Raw genomic sequence first — 26,703 nt, 5'->3', positions numbered from 1 at the left:
TTTAGGGTCATTGTCTCTGCAAGATTGGCCATTAGGTTATTACCTCTGGCAACAGCTGGTTTCTTTTTATGGTGAGGTTTCCGAAGGGCTGTCAGATCTATTATAAAAAGTGAAACCATGACACTTTATTTTCCCTCATTGCCAGCACCCAGAGAGGAGCATGGTTAATTCATACATGAGGCCTGAATGTGGGCAGTGAAGCAAGCATCAGGCTGCAAAAAGATGCAGATGAACTTAAGTATCAAGGTCTTTGGGCTCTTTGGCACAGCCAAGCTCAGCTAGTGCAGTGCTTCAGTTTGCAGAGGAGGAAACTGAGCCCAGAGAGGGAGCATGACTGAGGTGTCACAGGGGCAGAGTGAGAGTGTGGCCCAGGCTCTCCAGGAGCTCAGGCTCTCAGCACAGTATTTGCACCTGTCTAGGCTGCTGCCTTGGAGAGTGTGGTGGGGAGCAGGCCCTACTCTGTATCTAGGGTACTACCGCTGCCTTCTGTTTTCCTTCAGATGTTGCCATGCAGGCCCTGTGAAACTGTCTCTTTCTGCTCAGTAATTTATGGATAGAATTTTACCAGAATACACATAGTACAAGATGTGGTTGTCACTGATTTTTGGAATATCTTGAGGGGAAAGGCAATGAACATTAAGAGGCTCCTGTTTCTGTGTGAACATAGAAAGACTGAGAAACTGAAGCTTGTTTTGTTCCTCAGTAACCTCAAACACCACCTCTTGGTCACACATTTTCTCCCGCTAGGATGTGCTCCTATATCACTACTAATATTAATTATTAGTGTTATTAATACTTGGCTGCTGAGTACTTACTGTACGTCAGTGCATGTGAAGTGTTCAGCACAATGCATGTATCATTTAATCCACCCAGAAACTCTACAAAGATGGTACTGTAATTTTCTCCATTTTGTAAATGAGGAAACAGGTTAAGGTCACAGAGTAGGGGGGAGAACTGAGATTCAAATCCCTCCAATTTATGAAGCCTAAATTGGCTTGTTCCAGCTCTGTTGTACTGATTTCTGTGGAGGTGATTACCGTAAACCCCACCTGCCTGCTCCTCTTCTCCAGCCAAATTTGAAGCATTTGATGTCCCTGTGTTAGTCTGCTAGGGCTGGCGTTACAAAATAACACAGGCTGGGTAGCATTAATGATAGAAGTTTATTTTCTTGGCTGGGCGCGGTGGCTCATGCCTGTAATCCCAGCACTTCGGGAGGCTGAGCCGGGTGGATCACCTGAGGTCAGGAGTTTGAGACCATTCTGGCCAACGTGGTGAAACACCATCTCTACTAAAAATACAAAAATTACCTGGGCATGGTGGCACATGCCTGTAATCCCAGCTACTTGGGAGGCTGAGGCAGGAGAATCGCTTGAACCCCAGAAGCAGAGGTTTCAGTGAGCCGAGTTTGCGCCACTGCACTCCAGCCTGGGCTACAGAGCAAGACTCTGTCTTGAAAAAAAAAAAGAAAAAAAAATTATTTTCTCAGTCTGGGAGCTCGAAACCTGAGATCAAGGGGTCGGCAGGTTTGGTTCCTTCTGAGACTTCTCTCTTTGGCTTGAAGGCTGCCACCTTCTCACTGTATCCTCACATAGTCATCTCTGTGTCCAATTTCCCCCTCTTATGAGAACACCAGTCATATTGGATGAGGATCCACTCTAAATACCTCATTTTAACTTTTTTTTTTTTCCAATTTTCTTTTTTTTTTTTTTATTGATCATTCTTGGGTGTTTCTCGCAGAGGGGGATTTGGCAGGGTCACAGGACAGTAGTGGAGGGAAGGTCAGCAGATAAGTGAACAAAGGTCTCTGGTTTTCCTAGGCAGAGGACCCTGCGGCCCTCTGCAGTGTTTGTGTCCCTGGGTACTTGAGATTAGGGAGTGGTGATGACTCTTAACGAGCATGCTGCCTTCAAGCATCTGTTTAACAAAGCACATCTTGCACCACCCTTAATCCATTTAACCCTGAGTGGACACAGCACATGTTTCAGAGAGCACAGGGTTGGGGGTAAGGTCACAGATCAACAGGATCCCAAGGCAGAAGAATTTTTCTTAGTACAGAACAAAATGAAAAGTCTCCCATGTCTACCTCTTTCTACACAGACATGGCAACCATCCGATTTCTCAATCTTTTCCCCACCTTTCCCCCCTTTCTATTCCACAAAACCGCCATTGTCATCATGGCCCGTTCTCAATGAGCTGTTGAGTACACCTCCCAGACGGGGTGGTGGCCGGGCAGAGGGGCTCCTCACTTCCCAGTAGGGGCGGCCGGGCAGAGGCGCCCCTCACCTCCCGGACGGGGCGGCTGGCCGGGCAGAGGGGCTCCTTACTTCCCAGTAGGGGCGGCCAGGCAGAGGCGCCCCTCACCTCCCGGACGGGGCGGCTGGCCGGGCGGGGGGCTGACCCCCCCGCCTCCCTCCCGGACGGGGCGGCTGGCTGGGCGGGGGGCTGACCTCCCCGCCTCCCTCCCGGACGGGGCGGCTGGCCGGGCAGAGGGGCTCCTTACTTCCCAGTAGGGGCGGCCAGGCAGAGGCGCCCCTCACCTCCCGGACGGGGCGGCTGGCCGGGCGGGGGGCTGACCCCACCACCTCCCTCCCGGATGGGGCGGCTGGCCGGGCAGAGGGGCTCCTCTCTTCCCAGTAGGGGCGGCCGGGCAGAGGCGCCCCTCACCTCCCGGATGGGGCGGCTGGCCGGGCGGGGGGCTGACCCCCCCACATCCTTCCCGGACGGGGCGGCTGGCCAGGTGGGGGGATGACCCCCCCACCTCCCTCCCGGATGGGGCGGCTGGCCGGGCGGGGGGCTAACCCCCCCACCTCCCTTCCGGACGGGGCGGCTGGCCGGGCGGGGGGCTGACCCCCACCTCCCTCCCAGACAGGGTGGCTGCCGGGCGGAGACGCTCCTCGCTTCCCAGACGGAGTGGCTGCCGGGCAGAGGGGCTCCTCACTTCTCAGACGGGGCGGTTGCCAGGCAGAGGGTCTCCTCACTTCTCAGACAGGGCGGCCGGGCAGAGACGCTCCTCACATCCCAGACGGGGCGGCAGGGCAGAGGCGCTCCCCACATCTCAGACGATGGGCGGCGTGGCAGAGACGCTCCTCACTTCCTAGATGGGATGGCGGCCGGGCAGAGATGCTCCTCACTTTCCAGACTGGGCAGCCAGGCAGAGAGGCTCCTCACATCCCAGACGATGGGCGGCCAGGCAGAGACGCTCCTCACTTCCCAGACGGGGTGGCGGCCGGGCAGAGGCTGCAATCTCGGCACTTTGGGGGGCCAAGGCAGGCAGCTGGGAGGTGGAGGTTGTAGCGAGCCGAGATCACGCCACTGCACTCCAGCCTGGGCACCACTGAACACTGAGTGAGTGAACGCGACTCCGTCTGCCATCCCGGCACCTCGGGAGGCCGAGGCTGGCAGATCACTCGCGGTTAGGAGCTGGAGACCAGCCTGGCCAACACAGCGAAACCCCGTCTCCACCAAAAAAATACGAAAACCAGTCAGGCATGGCGGCGCGTGCCTGCAATCGCAGGCACTCGGCAGGCTGAGGCAGGAGAATCAGGCAGGGAGGTTGCAGTGAGCCGAGATGGCAGCAGTACAGTCCAGCTTTGGCTCGGCATCAGGGGGAGACCGTGGAAAGAGAGGGAGAGGGAGAGTGAGAGGAGGGAGAGGGAGAGGAGGAGCCTTTCCAATTTTCTTTCTTTCCTTCCTTCCTTCCTTCCTTCCTTCCTTCCTTCCTTCCTTCCTTCCTTCCTTCCTACCTCATTTTAACTTGATCACCTCTTTAAGGATCTAATCTCCAAACACAGTTACATTTTGAAGTTCTGGGATTAGGACTTTGAATATTAATTTTGAAGGGAACACAGTTCAGCCCACAACAGTCCTGCTATTTGTCAGATGGCCAGCTGGAACTTCTAGGGCTGTCCTGATGTGTGACAGCTGGTTAGGCTGTCACCTGCCCTCAGCAGTGCCGAGAGCCTGAATGAGAAGAGCTGTCCCTCACTCCAGGGCCCTAGAGGGCTGCTATCAAGGAAAGCACAGCCTTCAGAGACTAAGGCCTGAGTTTTGGCTGATTGGACTTAACCTTCTAGAGCCTCATCTTCCTCAGCTGTAAAGTGGAGGTGATTCCTGTCTTAAATAAATTAAACACTTCATATTGAAAGTGTTTGTAGCTTTGAGTTCAGATGGGGTCGTGAGACTAATGATTACTCAGCGCCTAATCCATTACCCCCATTCCAGGGGATGGTGGAGTGGGAGCTTTGGGGAAGAATGCTTAAGGGAATGAAATACAGAGACAGTTGAAAAACAAACTGATCTCCCTCTCCAGTCATTTCTGAGGCCTTCTTACCCAGCTTTTCACCTTCTAGCAATACCATGGCACTGTGTGTGGCTGAGGTTCTGTGGCTCCACCCCAGAGGGCCTCATTTTGCTCTTCCCTGGGGCTCTGCTGCAAAGAAGTCAGCTTGGAGAGGGGCTGTGGGCTCAGCTTGCTTAAAGAGAAATTGCCTGATATACAGTTTGGGTTATCATGACCTTGAGGAAAGTATAGAATTAAAAAAAAATTCTTTTATACTATGAAGGTCATATAACTGCATTACATAAAAAAATGGGATAATAGACAAAGGGGAAAAACAGCCATATTCACTTCACCTTAATGTATCTTCTGGATTTTATAGAAGAGTGGGGAAATAACATTTATTTTATTTTAATTAATTTATTTTTAAAATTTGAGACAGGATCTTCCTGCTCTGACACCCAGGTTGGAGTGCAGTGGCATGACCATGGCTTACTGCACCCTCGATTTCCCAGGCTCCAGATATCCTCCCACCTCAGCCTCCCAAGTAGCTGGGACCATGGGTGTGTGCCACCACACCCAGCTAATTTTTGTATTTTTGGTACAGATGGGGTTTTGCCATGTTGCCCAGGCTAGTCTCAAACTCCTGAGCTCAAGTAATCTGCCACTTTGGCCTTCCAAAGTGCTGAGATTACAGGCGTGAGTCACTGTGTCCAGCCCTGTCTTTTATTTATTTTAAATAGGTGTACATGATATGGCATGGATTTGACAGGGTACAAAGTAGTGAGAAGTCTTTTTACATAACATGCTTTTAGTCATATATATGATTTTGACTTTTTCAGTTAACATTGCGTTATCTTTTTATGTCTAAACATTTCTTATTCTTCCCCATTTTGAAGTTTTAAAATTTGAAAGCAATATATGCAAAGTATATTTATGAATTTTTATTCTTAAATAATGGATAGCAAAATACCAAATTAGTAACAGTGGTGGCATATTACAGTTAATTTTTATTATGTATGCTTTTATTTTCTAAATTTTCCACAAATAAGCAGTAATATTCAGAGAAATATGCAGAAGAGATATGCATAATCTTAGAATTAACATTTTGGCTTATTTTTATCCAATATTCATTCCTTGCATTTTGTAAAGATAATTGAGATTATATTTTATATATGATGTGGTTGCTGCTTGGTTTTCATTTAACACAAAGATCTGTTAAGCTTAGATTCTTTATAAACTTTATGTTTAATGGCTGTACAATGTTTCATCAAGTATAAACACCTTATTTTGCTCAACCATTACTTCATAGTTTCCAGTTTTTGACTGTAAAAATAATGCTGTGATGGACAACTTCAGAAATAGTCTTTGGAAGTACTGACCCTGAAAAAAATCTGTTTGGAGCTTAGAGGAGCTATATTCCCAATGGATGGGTACAGAGCAGGCACTCAGATGTTGCTTGTGCATGGAGAATGAGGTGACATGTGTGAAGGAATGTTCTGTAAATGATTTCAATAAATGATAGCACGTAAGAATAACAAATGTTTTAAGCCAATGAAGGCCTGTCAAGAGGGAGCCCAAAATGGACTGCAAAATCGAAACCTGTCATACTCTGATAGCTTGAAGGTTTTTGAGAGGGTTCTACAATTTTGGCTGTGAAAGATCTGAGGGAAAGATAGTGATTTGCAGAATTGTACAGCAGGAATGTAGAGCAGGCTGTATCTTTGTACCATGTTGAAGAATGAAGTTGCAGCGATCCTTTTCCAGTCTCTGAAGGAAGAGAACATGGCAAGAAGGACAAAAACTGAAAGGCCTGTTTGCTGTCTGACTGTGTGCTGCCCCAGGTGGCTGCTGAAACTAAATCAATTTGTGGAAGGCATGGAAGAGTTTTCTTAGTTTGATTATGTCTTTTGGAATTGAATGGGCAAATAGAATTTCTTTGAAAGATGTCTCTATTTCTGCCTGGAGGACTCTGTAATTTGGACGTTGTGAGAAGAGCCTATCTTTATTTTGAATTTGGAACCATTGACTCCCCTTTCTTTATGCTGTGAGTTATTTATATGCCAAGAAGCACAGTGGAGGCCTTTTCACCTTCTCATGACTTTAAGAAATACAGGAAAACAGCATTCTCTACAATCCATAATCCCTGAGTGTTGGCAACAAAAAAATGAAAGATATTCTAATGTAGGCGTCTGTGCAATGGTGATGGGTTATGGATGGTCAATGAGAACCTTGGCTGCCAGTCCTGGGAACTGATCTCAGCCTTCCCTGGGACCCTCTGGATGAGGGGATCCTCATTCACCTAACTGAGCAAACATCCCAAACATGCTCTGTTTGCCCATTTATTCATTCCATTCATTAATGTACTCATTGATTCCATTTGGTTCACTTCAGCTACTGATCACCTAATGTTATATGCCAGGCCGTGTGCATGGCTGTAATTATAGAGCTGTGACTAAGACCTTCCTTCCTTCCTGTTCAGTCAGGGTTCAGTAGCAGTAGTGAGAAGTTATTCTCGCTTTTCTAAACAGAAATGGATTTAATACAGTGAACTAGGTGTTTACATCATGATTGGAAGGGTGCAGGAGTAGGCTCTAGGCTGACCTTTGGCAATGATAACTAAAACAAGACTGTGAAAATGGCCCATAAGTAATTGTTTTCATTTTCCTTTTAATTCAACTCTTTTGAGCTCCCCTTGCCCTTTGCTCCCAACTTCTCTGTCCCAGATCTTAGGCTCTCTCCTTATGGGAAGAGCTGTTTCAAAGCATTTATGGATTGTAAAGTGTGAATAAGGGTGTTGTTAATAATAACTGTCACTTGCTGACTGTTTATTGTGTGCCCAGCTGTCTGCTAAGTCCTTTACCTGTGTTATTTCAATCCTCACATCTGTTGGGTAGTTAATATTATCTCTACATTGCAGAGAAGGAACCTGAAGCTAATAAAAGTTAAATGACTTGCCTAGGATAATTCAGCTAATAAGTAACATTTGAATTCAGGGAGTGTCTCTGTCCAGAGGTACTTGCAGTTTAAAAGACAAGCTGGGCCAAAGAAGATACACAAATGACCAATAAGCAAATGAAAAGATGCTCAGCATCATTAGCCATCAAGGAAATGCAAAACAAAACCGTAATGAAATACTACTTTACACACCCTAGGATGTTTATATTAAAAAGGACAGATACTTTAGAAGTGCTGGTGAGGGCGTAGAGAAGTGGGAACACTGATGCACTGCTGGTAGAAGTGTAAAATGGTGGAGCCACCTTGGAAGCCAGCTGCACGTTCTCAAAAGGTTAAACGTAAAGTTACCATATGAGTCATGAATTCCATTCCTAGGTATATACCCAAGAGAAGTGAAACCATGTCCACCTACACAAAAACTTGTACGCAATTCATAGCTACATGATTCATAATATCCTCAAAGTGAAAACCCAAAGTCCGTCAACTGATGGGTGGATAAATAAAATGTGGTGTGTCTATATAATGGAATATTATCTGGCCATAGGAAGGAATGAAGTACTGGTACATGCTACAACAAGAACGCAACAATGAACCTTGTAAACATTATGCTAAATGAAAGATGCCAGTCACAAAAGATGACCTAGTGTCTAAGCCTATTTATATGGAATGTCCAGAATAGGGAAATCCAGAGAGATAGAAAGTGGATTTATGGCTGCCTAGGGCTGGAGCTGGGGTGATCGCTAGAGAGTATGGGACTTCCATTTAGGGCAATGAAATGTTTTAAATTTGATTGGGGTGATGATCGTATAACTCTCAGTATACTAAAAGCCATTGCATTGTATACTTTATTTTTATTATATTTTGAGACAAGGTCTGGCTCTTCTGCCTAGGCCGGAGTGCACTGTGTGATTTCCACTCACTGCAACCTCCACCTCCTGGGTCAAACCATCCTCCCACCTCAGCCTCTTGAGTAGCTGAGACTATAGGCGTGCACCACCATACCCAGCTAATTTTTTTGTATTTTTTGTAGAGATGGGGTTTTGCTATGTTGTCCAGGCTGGGCTTGAACTCATGAGCTCAAGCTATCTTCCGGCCTTGGCCTCCCAAAATGCTGGGATTACAGGCGTGAGCCACCATGCCCAGCTACACTGTACACTTTAAGTGAATTGTTTGACATGTGAATTCTATCTCAATAAAGCTGTTCCTTCCCACCCCCGAAAAAAGAGAAAAGACATATTGGGAAGGATAATGCTTACCTAAATAAATGAGTTGCTAGTGGTGGAATTTAGAGGAGAAAGGATAAACCCCCATGCAGTTTTCTCAAACTTTTGGCTTATATTAGTTTGTCTTCACTATAGTAAAGTGAAAAAATGGATTTAATTTAGCACAAAATTAAATATTGAGCTCTCAGCCTATTGTCTGGCTGGTGAGCCTAGAGCTGATTTATTTTTTCTTCAGCTCTCTGCTTTCCTAGACAGCTTTTTTCCATTTTTCTCTAAGGAGTATATATTATTTTTTATAAGTAGGGAACCAAAAATGTTTCATAAAATATGTATCCCATTGGGTCATACAAAAAGAACATCATGGCTGGGTGCAGTGGCTCATGCCTGTAATCCCAGCACTTCGGGAGGTCGAGGCAGGCGGATCACCTGAGGTCAGGAGTTCGAGACCAGCCTGGCCAACATGGGGTGAAACCCTGTCTCTACTAAAAATAAAAAAATTAGCTGGCTGTGGTGGCGGGCGCCTATAATCCCAGCTACTAGGGAGGCTGAGCAGGAGAATCATTTGAACCTGGGAGGTGGAGGTTACAATGAGCTGAGATCGCGCCACTGCACTCCAGCCTGGGTGACAGTGAGACTCTGTCTCAAAAAAAAAAAAAAATAAAAAATCATGACTTCCACATGTTATGCCACTTGAGGTAGTTAGAGATTTTCTGTCCTAGAAAAAAGATTTTTTGGGGGAAAAAAGTGAGAGATCTCATGAGTGTTTGTCCATGAACTGAACTGATGTTGGAATTGAGCCATTCCTCAAAGCCTCCTCCCTTTCATCCTCTCATTTCTTTCTTGCCCTTTGAGTTTGTTCAAGGACCACCCAGTTGTTAATGATCACAATGTTGTATACAATTTTGTGTACAATTTTATTTAAAGGGAAAAGATCTGGAAGGCAGTGATGAGTGCTTATGTCAAGTTGAATAAATGCAAAAGGAAGAAATATAATGGGGTGTCTATGCTGTAGGTCATTTGTTCCATTTTATTGTCCAAGTATAATTGCTTATGCCAGAATTTCATAGTCTACTTGTAACCTAGTAAAACACCTCATGAAAGTTACAAGGCATTAACAGAATGAAAATTCACTCTAGTGTCTTCCTTTCCACCTGAGCTAAGGACAGACTGAACCATGCATATATTTTTTTAAACAAGATTTATGGATCAGTGAAGTGAAATTTATTGAGTTCCAACTGTATGTTTGAGAGCAGAATTTGCTGCCATGCAATCAGAGTAAAGCTGAGGATTTACAGCCTGTGAGAGCCTTAAATGTGTAGAGTTATTTTCCCATTACACATTAGGTTAGCAACTTGGAGTGTGACCTGGATTTCTCTGGCTGGACAGTGACATGCTCTGGGGCTTAAAGGCCTTCCCATTAACTATGTGCATTTGTGTTTGTCTGCAAGTAAGGTTTAGGCACCCTCCCAGCTAAAGGGGAGAGAGATGAGGAGCAGCACCACCAAGTGCCTGCCCCCCACACCTTATCCAGGTGAGCTCACTGACACTTCCCTGCCTACCCCTAGCACCTGGGCTCCCTGCTGACACCTGGGACCAGTAAGAGCAGGCCAAGAACAGCTCACAAGTATGGTATAAAGCTCAAAGAGCAAAGTTCAGTTCATGCCCTTACCACTTATAAGGGATCTTTGCCTTTCAGCAAATCACTTATCCTTCTAAAGGTTTTCCTGCCCTATAATGGAAATAATGCTATCTACTATACTTGCTTGTGATGAATATTAAATGAAAATCATATGGGAAGTACATAGCACAGTGCCTGAGACATAGCGGGCCTTCAGTAAAGATCATTACCTCTTTCCCAGTCTGCTTTTCTTGTTTGCTTTCCCTTTCCCAGGCCTCATTCCTACACTGAGTTGGCAGAGAAAATTACCCAGTTTTCTCCACTCATAATTAGAAGTCACCTGTTAGTATTTTTATTAACATATTTTCTCCTTTATGCAAAAGTTTTGTTTTGAGATGGAGTTTCGCTCTTTTTGCCCAGCGCTGGAGTGCAATGGCGTGATCTCAGCTCACCACAACCTCCGCCTCCCAGGTTCAAGCGATTCTCCTTCCTCAGCCTCCCTAGTAGCTGGGATTACAAGCATGTGCCACCACGCCCGGCTAATTTTGTATTTTTAGTAGAGACGGGGGTTTCTCCATGTAGGTCAGGCTGGTCTCAAACTCCCGACCTCAGGTGATCCGCCTGCCTCAGCCTCCCAAAGTGTTGGGATTACAGGCGTGAGCCACCGCGCCCAGCCATATGCAAAAGTTTTGTCTATATTGAACACATTTCCCCAGAGTAAAACCCATTGAATCAAAATATTGTTTACTCTAGAAAACACCATCCAAGAGCTCTTGGCTATACTTGTCCTTTTGCTTTTCCATTTAGATTTTAAGATCCGTTTGCAAAGATTCGCAAAAAACCCTATGAGATCTTGATTGGTTTCACATTGAATATATAGATTAATTTAGGGAAGAATTGGCATCTTTACAAAATTGGTGTTTTATAGCTCTCATTTAGGCCTTTAAAAATGTTTTTCAGTGAAGCCATAGTTTTCCCCATGAAAGTCCTATCAGAGTATCAGAGGTTCATGCAGAGCAGAGTGATCAGCATAGGTTTGGATTTTAGAGGAGCAGTTGGGTGATCTGAGGACAGTGAACTAGGGGGAACAAAGTCTAGAAGCAAGGAGGCCAGTTAGGAGGGTGTTGGACTAGTCCACGTGAGAGATGATAAAGGCCAGGATTTAGGACTGTGAGAAGGTAGAGGAGCCAACACATGCCAGAAACACTTCCTAGGAAGTGTGGACAAGGCCTTCTTAATTCTTTCAGGGCAAAATAAGGAAGAATAATAATACTTGCTGCTATTATTAGTAGCTCACTATGGACTGGGCAGAGTGCTAACTTGTTACATTCAGCCTTGCTTCTTCTTGAAATGCTCCAAAGTAGGCACTATTACTTCTGTCCTCCAGATAAGGAAACTAAATCTCAGAGAGGTTAAGTAACTAACTCAAAGTCACACAGGATTACAAAGCAGGTATTCAAGTCCAGATCTGCTCCTTTCCAAAGGCCACTGAACACTCAAATCTAATCTTGGGCTGTCTCAGTTTATTGAAAATACTTTATGAAAATATACCAGACCTTTTGAATTTTATGACTGAAAGAAAAATGACTAAAATCCTGTTCTCAATCATAGTCAGAAAATTGAATTGGAATGTTTCCCTAGTTTCATAATGTTTGATAAAAGATCCAGACAGATCTGAATTTATGAGATCTATAAAAATTCGAGTTGTTGAAAGAGTGGGAGAATGTGGGCTTTGGGGATGCCGGGATGGATCATGTGACTTCATGGAAAGCAGCAAAAATATTTTTGAATTCTGAAAGTGTTCCTGGTCATGTATTTCTGGGTAACGTTTTGTGGATGTTTTTCTTCCATCAGTCAGAAAAAAAAAGGAATGGCCTTAATTAAAATTTCTATTGTCTTTGCCATAGAGGAAGGAAGCCTTTTGGTGGTTGTCATGGTGATATCTGAATGACACTGTGGAAGTGGGTAGTGATTGCCACCCAGAGCCCTGAAATGAGCGTTTGTCATTTTCCTTGTCCCCTGAGAGGCTTGCAGCACCGAACTGCACATTTCCTTAATCGCCTTTTACATTCACATTTGAGCCAAATGTGTGTGTGCAGGCAAATGCTCTCCGCTGCAGCTAGTTAGAGTCATAAAGTCTGAAACCTTATTTCTAATTGCTTTGTGTTCCTGAAGCAAAATGGCATATGTGAGGTGTTCATGAAAACTCTCAGAAAGTAATTAGGAACTACCAGCCTTTCACGTGGCACAGCGGGATAGCTTGCAGGCCTCCTCCCCCTCACTGCCTAATACACCTTCTCTGCGGGTGGCCCATTTAAAGCCTTGTGTACTTAATGCATGGCATCTCTAAAAGCTGCCACTTACCACCAGTCCCCTGCTCCCAGCCAGCACACTGGAGCCATCATGTTACAGGCTGGCAGAGTGCAGCTGTTTCTGACAGTAAGAGTAGGCTCTTTTGCTGGCTTTGGGGTTTCTGCACTATATGATTGAGGTATAGGAAGGAAAAATGGGGAGGAATGGGGCTGTGCAGCTGGGTAATGTGATGGGTTTCTTGGAGCTCAGTCTGAAGGAGACAAGATGATGACGTCTCTCGCCCCCACCTGGATGTCTGTTCTGTAGCCTTTTGTGTAGAGTGGTATTACGACAAAGAACAAAGAATTTGCTGTAAAAGAACCTGGTTCACTTCTTGGCTCTACCCTTAGCTAACTATTTTTTTTAACTTGGGCGAAAGACTTAACCTCTTCTGTTAAATGGTAATAGTGTCAGTACTACCTCTCCAGGTCATTGCATTGCATGAGACTTTGGCAACTGTCAGGGCGTTATATATATGTTGTACATTCTAATCCACTGGCTGTTCATTAAGCCAATACTGTATACTAGGCTCTGTGATGGAGAATCAGAGCCAACAGAGAAGCAGGGTAAGCACAACAACCACAATGAGGCAGTAAAAGTTCTCTCCGTGTGTGCACAAACAAGCTCTTACCTCAGCCTCATATCGTGGAAGGCTTCTAAAGGACAAAAGCCAGAGAGATAAGGACATGGTCCTCAAGAAAAGGGAACAGTGTGTGCAAAGATACTGAGACACCCCTGGAGCCTGGGTATCCATGTGGGGGTGGTGAGCCATGAGGCAGGGAACAGGTTTAAGAAGTTTATCCTTTTTCCAGAAGGTAATGGGAACTACTGGATGATTTTAAGGCTGGAAATGGCACAGTTTATAGATTTAGAGCTATTTACAGGCAACTGTCTGGAGGATCGTAGAAAGAGAATTGGGAATATGTGGGTGGGTGGGTGCAGAGATAGGATGATGGGCTTAGGGACTGTTGCAGCCATTCTACTGAGTGGCTGTGGGGATGGAGAGGATGGGCCAGGTTGGGGATATAGGAAGTAGAGTTAACTAGTCTTGCTGACTGATGGGGAGTGAGGGGAAAAGGTAGGATGCCTTCCAGCATTTCTAGGTGCTATGATTCTTGGCATTTGGGGAGGGACAGCTTTTCATTGTGCGGGATGGTGGTGTTTAGCACTCTGGGCTCCTTGCCCTTCAGACGCCCCCTCCCCAAGTTGTTGTGATGACAGAAATGTCACAGCCATTCTTCCAAGTGCTCCTTGGTGACCTTCACCAAGATGGGGAATAAAAGAATAGAAACAGTTTAGGAAGATGGCAAAGGGTTCCACTTTGGAATATGTTGATTTAATGGTGCCTAGAGGACATCTTGGAAGAAGTGTCTAATAGACAGTTGGATATAGGGATCTGGGACTCTAGAGAGTGGACGGAACTCAGAGAGACAGCTTTAGGGTCATAACCATGGCAGGGCAGGAGCTTTCCTGGGGAAGATATTTAGCCTGAAAAGGCAAGTGGGCACCAGAACCTTGGGGACCATCGTGTATCCTGTTTAGTCTTCTGAGCTGGGGAGAACTGATGGTATTCTAGGGCTGTTTTATAGGGGAGAAGAGACTGACGCTTGTCAAGAGCAAATTTTTACAAGTTTCTCTCTTAATCAATTTTGGCAGATTCTCTTCTTGGCTCAGCCAGTGTCCACATGAGGCTAAGGAGAAGTAGATTTTGCCCCTTTCAGGTGAGGGTTTGTTTATTGTCCACTTTGTGGCCAGTGGGACCAAGTGTCTCAATGACTAGGCTGTTACTATCACCACCTCCTCTTGGATTTAGAAGTCTTTGTGCATTAGTAACGAGGCCTGATACAATTTGCTTTTTTCCCTGCAATGGCAGATTGTTCCTTGGTGCCCTCTGTGTTCTTGGTTCACTGATTAATAGACACTTGAGGAATTGCAGGGAGGTGTTTAACATGCATCAGAAACCATCACTAGCAGAGAAAAGTGATTCACTGAGCTCTCTCTCTGCTGTCTGCATCCCTCCCTGCTGACACAGTTTGACACTAGGGAACTGAGTCTGGATCTGGAAAGGCGCAGTATAAATGTGTGATTCAGAGTCAGTGATGTGCAGCTGTTGCCAAAGGAGGAAGTGCTCTGAAGAGGTGGATGGTGCAGTCGAGGATGCTTTGTGCTCCCATTTCTTTATGTTACCTTCTTCAGAGGTAGGAGTTATTCTGGGTTAAAGGTCAGTAGCAAGTTCGGGGTTCTAACCTGCAGGTTTCCAGCCAGTCAGTGTCCATGCCTGATTGCTGGGACTTCTAGACACAAATGAGGAGGGCCAGTGATTTATTTTCAGAGGATGGAGGCCCCTAATAAGATAGCTTCTTATATTAAACCCTTACCCTGTACTGGAGTTTTCTTCTTGCCTTAGAAATGTAAGGAATCGGTTTGGCCGTGTTGTCTTCATGGGGAATAGTTCAACCTTTGACTCCACCTCTGGAGTCAAAAAGCCTGGATTTGAATCCTGGCTCTGTTCCTACTAGCTGTGTAAACTTATATAAATCCCTTAATTTTTCTGATCCTCAGTTTCTTCATCTGTAAAATGGAAATAATAATAACTACCTCCTAGGATGGTAATACGATATGAGATAATGCCTGCAGAGTGCCTGGAGTGTAATATGTTATGATGTGATTTGTATATAATATGCTCACTGAAGTTATCATTATGGATCTCTCTCTTTTACCTTGTGTGGTTCTTTATCTACTCCCCTCCCCTGCCCCCAGTTTTGGATATCTGCAGGAGAAGTCTCGTGCACTGGGATGGCGGGCTCTCTGTTAGGGTTATGGGGAGTCAGTAGGTTTTCTGTGGGGAGAAGGGGCCCCAACAAGAACATGTACCCTTACCATTCACCTTCTTCATTTTGGGCACTATTTAGGAGATATTTTACAAAGCTTACACTACGAGTGTGGAGCTATGATTGGAACCTAGTTCAGGCTCCAAAGCCACACTCTTTCCACTGACTATTTGATACCTCTCTCCTGCTCACCCTGCCATCTTGCCTTGCATCCTGCAAAACCAAAAAGAAAAAGAAAGAATAAAACCAGAAACATCTGCTGGGATATTCCATTTGGGCACAGTGGTGTGCTCACTGGAAACTCCAGGTACGTGGGATCCTGTGGGTCAGGAGCCTTCTTCCTGCTCTGTTCCTCTAACTGGGACTCCCTTCCTGAATGGGCATCATTAGGAAATTGAAGAGGAAACTGGTTTGGGTGGAGAATTTCCGAAATCATCCCATTTTGCCCTTTCCTAGAAGTGAGATAGTGAGAGCCCCTCCCTGATTAGATGTCCAGTCTGTCCCCCAACCCCTGATGCTGGGATGGTCCCCCTTCTCTGGGTCATGGAGTGATGATGGGCAGGGGAGGAACGAAGTCTCACAGGACCTTGGCAACCTCCCCCTCCTGAGCTGTTGGGCCTCTGGAGTCCCTAGACTCTGGTATTCCATTGCTAGAGGACCAGTAGAAGGGGCAGTTGGAAAGAGGAGGCTTTGCCTAGCCAGAGGTCCCCAGCAGGGTGGGCTGAAGGATGCTTCCTAACCTGATTCAGTACAGCATCAACACTGGAAGCATCTGCAAGAGGCTGCTTTACTGGAGCCTCTGGAATGTGGCCGGGCTACTTTTTCTTTCACACTCCATGGATAACTTAATCTTTTCCAAACAAAGACACTGTGCTTTAACTCCTCATGGACATCCCTTGGGCTTTGGGCACTGCTGGCCCTCAGATCTGTGTGCTGATACTTTACAGCACAGTCCTGGTTTACGGAGTAAGAGTAAGCGCTACATGTCAGGATTTATGTGGGTCATTCCATGCTGCACACCTGCAAATGAGCTCATACAGCAGACTTTTTGCCTGTTCTTGGTTTTCTCCTTCTGTTACTGCTCTGACCTCAAGGCAATGGGAAAAGTTACCAGCTGTGTCTTCCTTGTGGGGGGGCGGGTACTAGAGAATTACAGCCTTCTCTGTCACTACTTTCTCAGCCCCAACAGTGTGGAGGTGACACTGAGAGAAAAGGAATCCAGTAACATTTAGTTGCAGGGCAGCACCAGGGTGTCAGAGCTGTAAGAGCTCCCTGTGTTCATCATCTCCCATCTTTTCCCATTTTATAGATGAGGTAAATGAGGCCCAGAAAGGGAAAGCCACCCGTTTCCTTCCCACTTGCTTGGTATTATTGTTTACCTTGAACAAACTAAATGCCCACAGTAGGGTACAGAGGAAATACCGTGATGCAGGAGAACAGTTTGGCTTCTATACTTGGATTCCAATGGGAATCCTAAACTCTTTTGAAATGTGTGGTCTTGGACAAATGATTTAACCTATCCTATGCCTGAGTTCCCTGAGTTAAGATGATAATACCTTGTAGTGTTGACATAACCGTTAGAGATAATACATGCAAATATTACAAGCAGTTACTCACAAGTGGTTTGTTAGGGGATACTGGCCATATTGGACGATAAGAGCTACAAGAGAAAGCTTGAAGGGTCGAGCCCTCATGAATGGGATTAGTGTCCCTATAAAAGGGGCCCTAGGGAACTTGTTTACACCTTCCACTATGTGAGGATGCAGCAGGAAGGTGCCATCTGTAAGGCATGGGCCCTCACCAGATAATGAACGTGCTGGCGTCTTGATCTTGGACATCTCAGCCTCCAGAACTGTCAGAAGTAAATGGATGTTGTTTATTAAATAAATAAAACAAAGTTCAACATAGATATTGTCAATTTCAATGTTAAGATTCCTGGCTGGGCACAGTGGCTCATGCATGTAATTCCAGCACTTTGAGAGGCTGAGGCAGGTGGATTGCGTGAGCTCAGGAGTTTGAGACTAGCCTGGGCAATATGGTGAAATCCTGTCTCTACTAAAAATACGAAAAAAAAAAAAAAAAAAAAAAGAAGCTGGAAGCTGGGCATGGTGGCACGCACCTGTGGTCCCAGCTACTTTGGAGGCTGAGGTGGGAGGATCACTTGAGCCAGTAGGGTAGAGGTTACAGTGAGCTGAGACTGTACTACTGCACTCCATCCTGGGTGACAGAGTGATACTTTATCTCAAAACAAAACAAAACAAAACAAAACAAAACACACACACACACACACACACACACACAAAATAAAACAACCTCTCCTGCATGGCTGTGACCACCTACTCTTGCTGCTAGGCTTCTGGGAGTTGGCTATAAGTTTTTAGCCATTGCTCTGTACTGGGCCTTGGTGCTCTTTTCCCACCATACATATTTCTTCATGCTCAGGATCTCCATATCCTACCCACATGTTTCAGATATCTCTTGACTCACATAGTTGTCAAATGATGCATTTTATGGATTCATAGATTCACAGAGCTCGTGAGGAGCATAAGGTCATCTTGGCAGATTGCATGCTTGGGGTTTGCATTCTTCCATTACCAACATCCTTGCCAGATGATTTATTTGGCCCAGGCTTGAAAACTTCCACCAATGGAAGGCAGTTGGCCAGTGTGATGTTCAGAGACTCTGTGACATTGTTGACACTCAGTTCCTTGAAAAATATGCCTCCCAGTGACTCCACCCACTGATCCTAGTTCAATCATGTTGAACCTCAGGGAACAAATTAGATTACTTCCCGTCTTGATAATCCTTTAGTGATGAAGACAGCAGTTGTGTCCCCTGAGTTTTTTGAAACCTGAAAACTCCAGTTGCTTCAGTGATGTGGTGGTGTTAACCCACTTAGCCCTTCACAGCCCTGGTCTGTCTCTCCTGGACTTCCTCCAGCTTTCTCCTCTGGCCTGCAGGTATGATTCCTAGAAGTGAACACATAATTGGGTGGAGTCTGATCAGTTTAAAATTGAATAACATTTTACCCCCTTGTTTTGGACTCTATACTATTATTAAGTGAGTCCCAAGGTCCTAGTGGCCCTTGTGATAGCTTTTCCATGCTGTTGACTAATTGGATTTGTAGTAAATCAAAGCCACTAAACTAATACAGATTCTGTATTCACTTGCTGTGGCTGCTATAACAAATTACCACAACAGTAGTATAAAACAACAGAAATGTATTCTCTTACATTTCCAGAGACAAGAAGTCGAAAATCAAAGTGTTTACAGAGTTGGTTCCATTCCATACCTCTCTTTGCTTCTGATGGCTGCCAGCAATTCTTGGCATTCCTGGCCTATAGAGGCATCACTCCAATCTCCGCCTCTGTCTTCATATGGCTCTCTACCCTTTGTATATTTTATATGCCACTCAAATCCAGGCCACTGATACTGGATTTCCACATGAGGTCTCTTGGCTGCACACAGATATTCCAAGCTCTAAAATATATTTTTTGAGTCTGGGTGGCTCATGCCTATAATTCCAGTGCTTTGGGAGGCCAAGGCGGGAGGATTGCCTGAGTACAGTAGTTTGAGACCAGCCTGGGAAACATAGCAAGACCCCATCTCTAAAAAGAATAGAATAGAATAGAATAGAGAATAATAGTCTAGCATGGTGGCACTGCATCTATACTAGCTACTCAGGAGGCTGAGGCAGGATGATCACTTGAGCCCAGGAGTTTGAGACTGCAGTAAGCTACCATCATGCCACCCACTCCAGCCTGGGTGACAGAGCAAGATCCTGACTCTAAAGACATTTGAAAAAAGAAAAAAAATGTATATTTTTACATATTTTTAAGCAATACATATATATATATATTTTTTCATGTTAGTGGAAATTAATCACTGGAAGATGGATTTTAAGGCAGGACATTAATTTTAAAACAATGTATGATTTTTTTCTTAATCCTTGTTTTCGGGAACCTAGTGTTAATTTATGGTTCAGTAATAACTGTTACCTCAATCAATTTCTTAACCTTCCCAGGTCTCAGTTTCCTCATCTATGCAACAAAGAGACTAGATGAGGTAAGCTCTGAGTCATTTTCAGTCCTACAACTCTTAATACTGTGGAATTAATTTCTGGAAAGCAAGAGTTACCATCTATGATAAAATAGGTCTCAATTTGTTTGCTTTATTTACTGTTATTGATTTAAAGTCTGTTTTATCTGATATAAGTATAGCTGCTCTTGCTTGCTTTTGGTTTCTGTTTGCATGGAATATTTTTTTCCAGTCCTTTACTTTGTAAATGTCTTTATCAGCGAGGTGGGTTTTTTGTATGCAGCATGTGGTTGGATCTTGTTTTTAAATCCATTCCACCAGCCTGTATCTTTTAGGAGTATTTACTCCATTTATGTTTAAGGTTAGTATTGCTATGTGAGGTTTGTTCTTGTTATAATATTGTTACCTCATTGCTTTGCAGTCTCGATTGTATAATTGCTTTATAAGACCTGTGAGTTTTATACTTTCATGTGTTTTTATGATGATGAATATTGCCCTTTTGTTTCCATGTTTAGAATTCCTTTGAGCATTTATTGTAGGGGCAGTCTAGTGGTGAAAAATTCCCCTAGTGTTTGCTTGTCTAGGAAACATTTTATTTCTCCTTCATTTATGAAGCTTAGTTTAGCAGGATACAAAATTCTTGGCTGGCATTTTTTTCTTTAAGAAGACTGGAAATAGAACCCCAAACTTTTCTGGTTTGTAAGGTTTCTGCTGAGAAGTCATTTTTAGTCTGATGGGATTTCCTTCATAGGGGATTAGACACTTCTCTCTTGAAGCTTTTAGAATTTTTTCCTTCATGTTGACTTTGAATAGTCTGATGACTATATGCCTTGGTGAGATTCTTCTTGTAATGCATCTTCCAGGAGTTCTCTGAACTTCTTGTATCTGGGTGTCTAGGCATCTAACATGACCAGGGAAGTTTTCTTGAATTACTCTTTCAAACAGGTTTTCCATATATTTTCTTCTTCTCTCTCTGAATCAACCTATAACTTGTAGGTTTGGACGTTTCACATAAAGCCAATTTTCTCAGAAGCTTTGTTCATTTCATTTTATTTATTTTTTTTGTGGGGGGTGGTGTTGACTCCTGTCACTCAGGCTGGAGTGCAGTGACGTGATCACAGCTCACAGCAGCTTCAACTTTGCAAGCTCAGGTGATCCTTCCACCTCAGCCTCCCAAGCAGCTGGGACTACAGGTGTGTGCCACCATGGCCAGCTAATAGTTCATATATATATATATATATATATATATTTTTTTTTTTTTTTTTTTTTGAGCAATAAAGCTTTTAATTCACCTGGGTGCAGGTGGACTGAGTCTGAGAAAGGAGTCAGCGAAGGGAGATGGGGAAGGGGTTGCTTTATAGGAGTTGGGTAGGTAATGGAAAATTACGGTAAAAGATGGTCATCTATTGTTAGCAGAGGAGGAGGTCACAAGGTACATGGTGGGGAGATCATAAGACTTATTATCCAGAAGAAGAATGTCACAAAGTTGATTGATCGGTTAAGGTGGGGCAGGGACAAGTCACAATGGTGGAATGTTGTAATGTTGGTTAATCAGTTAAGGCAGGAACTGGCTGTTTTACTTCTTTTGTGGTTTTTCGGCTGCCCCAGACTTCTTGGCTCCTTCAGGCCATCTGGGTGTATATGTGCAGGTCACAGGGGTTACAATAGCTGAGCTTCAGCTCAGAGGCCTGACAATCACCACACTGGCTAATTTTTTTTTTTTTTTTTAATTTTTAGTAGAGACAGGGTTTCTTTTTTTTTTTTATCTTCCCCCTCTTGAATTTTGTTTTTTTTAATTTTTTTAATTTTTATTTTTTTTTAGTATTTATTGATCATTCTTGGGTGTTTCTCGCAGAGGGGGATTTGGCAGGGTCATAGGACAATAGTGGAGGGAAGGTCAGCAGATAAACAAGTGAACAAGGGTCTCTGGTTTTCCTAGGCAGAGGACCCTGCGGCCTTGCGCAGTGTTTGTGTCCCTGGGTACTTGAGATTAGGGAGTGGTGATGACTCTTAAGGAGCATGCTGCTGCCTTCAAGCATCTGTTTAACAAAGCACATCTTGCACCGCCCTTAATCCATTTAACCCTGAGTGGACACAGCACATGTTTCAGAGAGCACGGGGTTGGGGGTAAGGTTATAGATTAACAGCATCCCAAGGCAGAAGAATTTTTCTTAGTACAGAACAAAATGGAGTCTCCTATGTCTACTTCCCTCTACACAGACACAGCAACAATCCGACCTCTCCATCCCCTCCCCACATTTCCCCCCCGTCTACTCAACAAAACCGCCATCGTCATCATTGGCCCGCTCTCAATGAGCTGTTGGGTACACCTCCCAGACGGGGTGCCGGCCGGGCAGAGGGTCTCCTCACTTCCCAGAAGGGGCAGCCGGGCAGGGACTGCCCCCCACCTCCCTCCTGGACGGGGCGGCTGCTGGGTGGAGGCGCTCCTGTCTTCCCAGATGGGGCGGCTGCTGGGCAGAGGGGCTCCTCACTTCCCAGAGGGGGACGGCTGCCGGGTGGAGGGGCTCCTCACTTCTCAGATGGGGCGGCTGCCAGGCGGAGGGGCTCCTCACTTCTCAGATGGGGCGGCCGGGCAGAGACGCTCCTCACCTCCCAGAACGGGGTGGCGGCCAGGCAGAGGCGCTCCTCACATCCCAGACGGGGCGGCGGGGCAGAGGTGCTCCCCACATCTCAGACGATGGGCGGCCGGGCAGAGAGCTCCTCACTTCCTAGACGGGATGGCAGCCGGGAAGAGGCACTCCTCACTTCCCAGACTAGGCAGCCAGGCAGAGGGGCTCCTCACATCCCAGATGATGGGCGGCCAGGCAGAGACGCTCCTCACTTCCCAGACGGGGTGGCGGCTGGGCAGAGGCTGGAATCTCGGCACTTTGGGAGGCCAAGGCAGGCGGCTGGGAGGTGGAGGTTGTAGCCAGCCAAGATCATGCCACTGCACTCCAGCCTGGGCAACATTGAGCATTGAGTGAACGAGACTCCGTCTGCAATTCCAGCACTTCGGGAGGCTGAGGCTGGCAGATCACTCGCGGTTAGGAGCTGGAGACCAGCCCGGCCAACACAGCGAAACCCCGTCTCCACCAAAAAAATACGAAAGCCAGTCAGGCGTGGTGGTGCGCGCCTGCAATCCCAGGCACTGGGCAGGCTGAGGCAGGAGAATCAGGCAGGGAGGTTGCAGTGAGCCGAGATGGCGGCAGTACAGTCCAGCTTCGACTCGGCATCGGAGGGAGACCGTGGAAAGAGAGGGAGAGGGAGACCGTGGGGAGAGGGAGAGGCAGACCGTGGGGAGAGGGAGAGGCAGACCGTGGGGAGAGGGAGAGGGAGACCGTGGGGAGAGGGAGAGGGAGAGGGAGAGGTTGAGGTTTATATTTTTAGTAGAGATGGGGTTTTGCCATATTGCCCATGCTGGTCTTGAACTCCTGGGCTTAAGCAATCTAAAATTCTTTCTTCTGCTTGGCCTAGCCTATTGTTGAAGCTCTTTGACTGTATTTTGTGATTCCTTCAATGAAATTTTCATTTCCAGAAGTTCTGTCTGATTTTTAAAAATAATATTGCTCTTCTTTCATATCCTGAATTGTTTTTCTGATTTGTGTTGTTTTTCAATTTTCTCAACTTGGCTTAATAAACTGATAAACTGAGAAGTTATAGCTCCTAAGACAGGTTATCATTTGCTAATCTGAATCAGAAAAACTGTTATTTTGTTCATCTTTTGGCAGGATATATAGAAACTAAGCTGTTACACACCCTTAACGCCCCTAATCCCTCTTATTGATTACTTGCCTTTCATGTGTAAGACACTAGGGGATTGGCATCTAGTTGGCTCTCAAATATTTGTTAAATGAATGAAGAAATACACTGTTGTCACATGTTATTGTTGGGGGCAAGTAAATCAATATCATTCTGGTCTGACCATGTAGTAATTGTGGGCTTTTTTTTTTTTTTTTTTTGAGACAGAGTCTCGCTGTGTCACCCAGGCTGGAGTGCAGTGGCGTGATCTCCACTCACTGCAACCTCCGCCTCCTGGGTTCAAGCAATTCTCCTGCCTCAGCCTCCTGAGTAGATGAGATTACAGGTGCCTGCTACCATGCCCTGCTAATTTTTGTATTTTTAGTAGAGATGGGGTTTCACCATGTTGGCCAGGCTGGTCTTGAACTCCTGACCTCAGGTGATCCACTTGCCTCAGCCTCCCAAAGTGCTGGGATTACAGGCATGAGCCACTGCGCCCAGCAATTGTGTGCCTTTTAAGATTTCTTTTGAATACCTAGCTGAATCAATTATTTTTTTTAAATGGTGGCAACTTTTTGCAGTTGCTTTCTGGAGCAGTTTCCTTATCTATGATGTGGACAACTGTGGAGAGCTGAACTCCAGGGCCTGTGCTATAAACACCACAGTAGACTATATTTTTCAAGTTGGGAGAGGTCTGTGATCTTGTTCCAGGTGGCATCTGGTTAGATGCTTTTCTTTTCCAGGAGTCTCTGCCTACTGCCAGTGGCCTCTTTGGGTGGCCATTAGGGCTGCATCCACTGGTACCACTCTTCCTTTGGGTTCTATAGGGATAGAATTGGTGGTGGTATCTTTCTGGATTTTTCACTCTGTGGAAGAAACAGTCTGTTGGCTGGTTTGGGGTTTACCTTTTCTTTCTTTCTTTTTTTTTTTTTTCCGATGGAGTCTTGCTCTGTTGCCAGGCTGGAGTGGTGCAGTGGCGCGATCTCAGCTCACTGCAACCTCTGCCTCCTGGTTTCAAGCCATTCTCTTGCCTAAGCCTCCTTGGTGGCTGGGACTACAGGCATGCGCCACCACACCTGGCTAATTTTTTTTGTATTTTTAGTAGAGATGGGGTTTTACCATGCTGGCCAGGCTGGTCTCGAACTCCTGACCTCAAGTGATCCGCCCGCCTCGGCCTCCCAAAGTGCTGGGATTACAGATGTGAGCCACTGTGCCTGGCCGGGGTTTACCTTTCAAAAGCTCAGTTAGAGAAGGTTAAGAGTGAGTCCACTGTTGGAATAATTTTTTTTTTTTAAGATTTTTGTGACAGGGAAAATTCTGGGCCAATTTTTGTCATCTTCCTTTAGTTCTTTTTTTTCCTCCTGCCTCAGTCTCCCGAACAGCTGGGATTACAGGCTCCGCCACCACTCCCAGCTAATATATATATATTTTTTTTAGTAGAGATGAGGTTTCACTGTTTTGGCCAGGCTAGTCTCAAATTCCTGACCTCAAGTGATCCGCCCACCTCAGCCTCCCAAAGTGCTGGGATTAGAGGCATGAGCCACCACACCTGGCATCTTGCTTTAGTTTTTACTTTTACATATGAATTTTTTTTTTTTTTTTGAGATGGAGTCTCACTCTGTCGCCCAGGCTGGAGTGCAGTGGCTTGATCTTGGCTCGCTGCAACCTCTGCCACCTGATTTCAAGTGAGTCTCCTTCCTCAGCCTCCTGAGTAGCTGAGATTACAGGCATGTGCCACCACACCTGGATAATTTTTGTATTCAGGGTTTCACTATGTTGGCCAGGCTGGTCTTGAACTCCTGACCTCAAATGATCCACCTGCCATGGCCTCCCAAAGTATTGGGATTACAGGCATGAGCTACCATGGCCAGCAAGAAATCTTTATTTCTTAAAACAGATCTTCTTCATGAAAAGAAGGTCTTCTCTGGAATCAGTGATGTTGGTACAAAGTAGGAGTTACAAACTCAGACGTCTACAGAGGCTTAGCAGATAACAAAAAGGCAGCCTGTGGTGTTTATGCTCTTGAATTTGTTTTTGAAGTACTTATAACACTCTGTTTATATTTACAGAAATTTCTTTACTGTAAAAAAATTAGAAATGTTAGATGTGATGATAAATAACACTAGGTGTTCACCCTCAACACTGGGAAGCAGCAGGGAGTGTTGAGGACTGCATGGAAATAAAAAGGTCATTCTGCCTCTCCTTGGGGCCCAGAGTTGCGACAGTTTTTGTTTTTTTTTGTTTTCTAACATAAGTTCAATTTCTTTTTCTTTTTCTTTTCTTTTCTTTTCTTTTTTTAAACATAGTCTCACTCTGTTGTCCAGGCTGGAGTGCAGTGATGCAATCTCGGCTCACTGCAACCTCCGCCTCCTGGGTTCAAACAATTCTCCTGGCTCAGCCTCCTGAGTAGCTGGAATTACAGGTGCCCACCACCACACCTGGCTAATTTTTTTGTATTTTTAGTAGAAACAGGGTTTCACCATGTTGGCCAGGCTGGTCTCAAACTCCTGACCTCAGGTGATCTGCCTGCCTTGGCCTCCCAAAGTGTTGGGATTATAGGCATGAGCCACTGTGCCCAGCCTAAGCTGAAATTTTATATGAAATTTTTCTGTTTTTAAACTTTGGCTGATTTTTTACAATCTGAGTAGCTCAAATAAAACTAGTTTGGGGGACAAATTGGTTTTCAGGTCATGAATTTGAAGTCTCTGATGCATATTGGGATAGGTTGGCATATGGGATGGGCCTGTGGATCATCTCTCAAAGGACTGGAGTGGTGTGGGAGTCCTAGGGAAACCTGTGTGTGGAGGGGGCTGTTTATGTTCATCCTTGTGTATGGATATGGAGGAGTCCAAGATATATATGTAAAGTAAAAAGCAAGTTATAGAATGATATGTACAATTTTATTCTATTTGTGAATTTTTTTCTAAAAAGATATATATATAAAATTTTAAGTTCATAAAAATTTTGTAAGTGCAAAACCCGAAAAGGATATACAAGAAACTGATAAAGGTAGTTGCCCCTGGGATTGACACTGAATTGGAGGCAGGAAAAGGAACTGCTTTTTAGTTCATACCCTTCTGTAGCATGCAGTACTTAAATAATTTTTGAAAAGTAAAATGAAAAGAGCTGTTGGGAAGTATAATTCCTCTATGTTACAATTGGGGAGTGTTGCTATATATTAATACTGAAGAGTGTAAGCCTTCAGTGCTAAGAATGTTGAGGAAGGAGGAAATTAGAGTGGTCTGGCATGATTAGGAAGGGCTACTTGGAAGAGAAGGAGCCTTGAAGATTGGGCAGAAATCCTTAGGGAAAAGGACAGAAGGAGCCAAAGCCCAGAGGTAGAAAAGAAAGGATGACTTGGGGACTGGTGGGCAGTTAAAGTTGACAGAAGCCAAGAGTATCAGGAAGCAGTGAGAGATAAAGAGGCTTTAACATGAGGAGCCATGGAGGGTGTTTGGGCAGGAGATAATGGAACAAGAGCAGTGCTCCAGCATGCTTAAACTGGTAACAAGGATGAGGAAATTTGGAGACAAAGCCACAGGGTGGCAGCCTCTCATGTGGCCCCTGCTGGCTCCCAAGATAGCTGTCACTAATTCCTGCTAGGGTGTTTCCTGGTGAACAAGGATTATTTCTATATAACTGATGAATAAGCTCCTCGCATTTCCTGTT

At 45.1% G+C, this 26,703-nt stretch overlaps 1 protein-coding gene across 32 annotated transcripts in view, besides 2 other annotated features; it reads left to right on the top strand.

Annotated features, from left to right (window-relative positions):
• The window catches only part of PLEKHA7 (pleckstrin homology domain containing A7), a 237,118-nt gene that overhangs the window by 104,449 nt on the left and 105,966 nt on the right, over positions 1–26,703 (top strand). The window lies entirely within an intron of this gene.
• Positions 11,947–12,632: an enhancer, noted in NCBI's record as "OCT4-NANOG hESC enhancer chr11:16918881-16919566 (GRCh37/hg19 assembly coordinates)". NCBI's record gives its function as "activates a minimal SCP1, AML or CMV promoter by ChIP-STARR-seq in naive H9 embryonic stem cells {active_cell/tissue: H9 hESC(naive)}" and the evidence as "EXISTENCE:reporter gene assay evidence [ECO:0000049][PMID:30033119]".
• Positions 13,768–18,377: an enhancer, noted in NCBI's record as "VISTA enhancer hs2096". NCBI's record gives its function as "enhancer in: other[4/7]" and the evidence as "EXISTENCE:transgenic organism evidence [ECO:0001131][PMID:17130149]".

This window comes from Homo sapiens, chromosome 11, assembly GCF_000001405.40.
Source record: "Homo sapiens chromosome 11, GRCh38.p14 Primary Assembly".
Taxonomy (NCBI): domain Eukaryota; kingdom Metazoa; phylum Chordata; class Mammalia; order Primates; family Hominidae; genus Homo; species Homo sapiens.
This window is presented reverse-complemented; position numbering and strand designations above follow the sequence as displayed.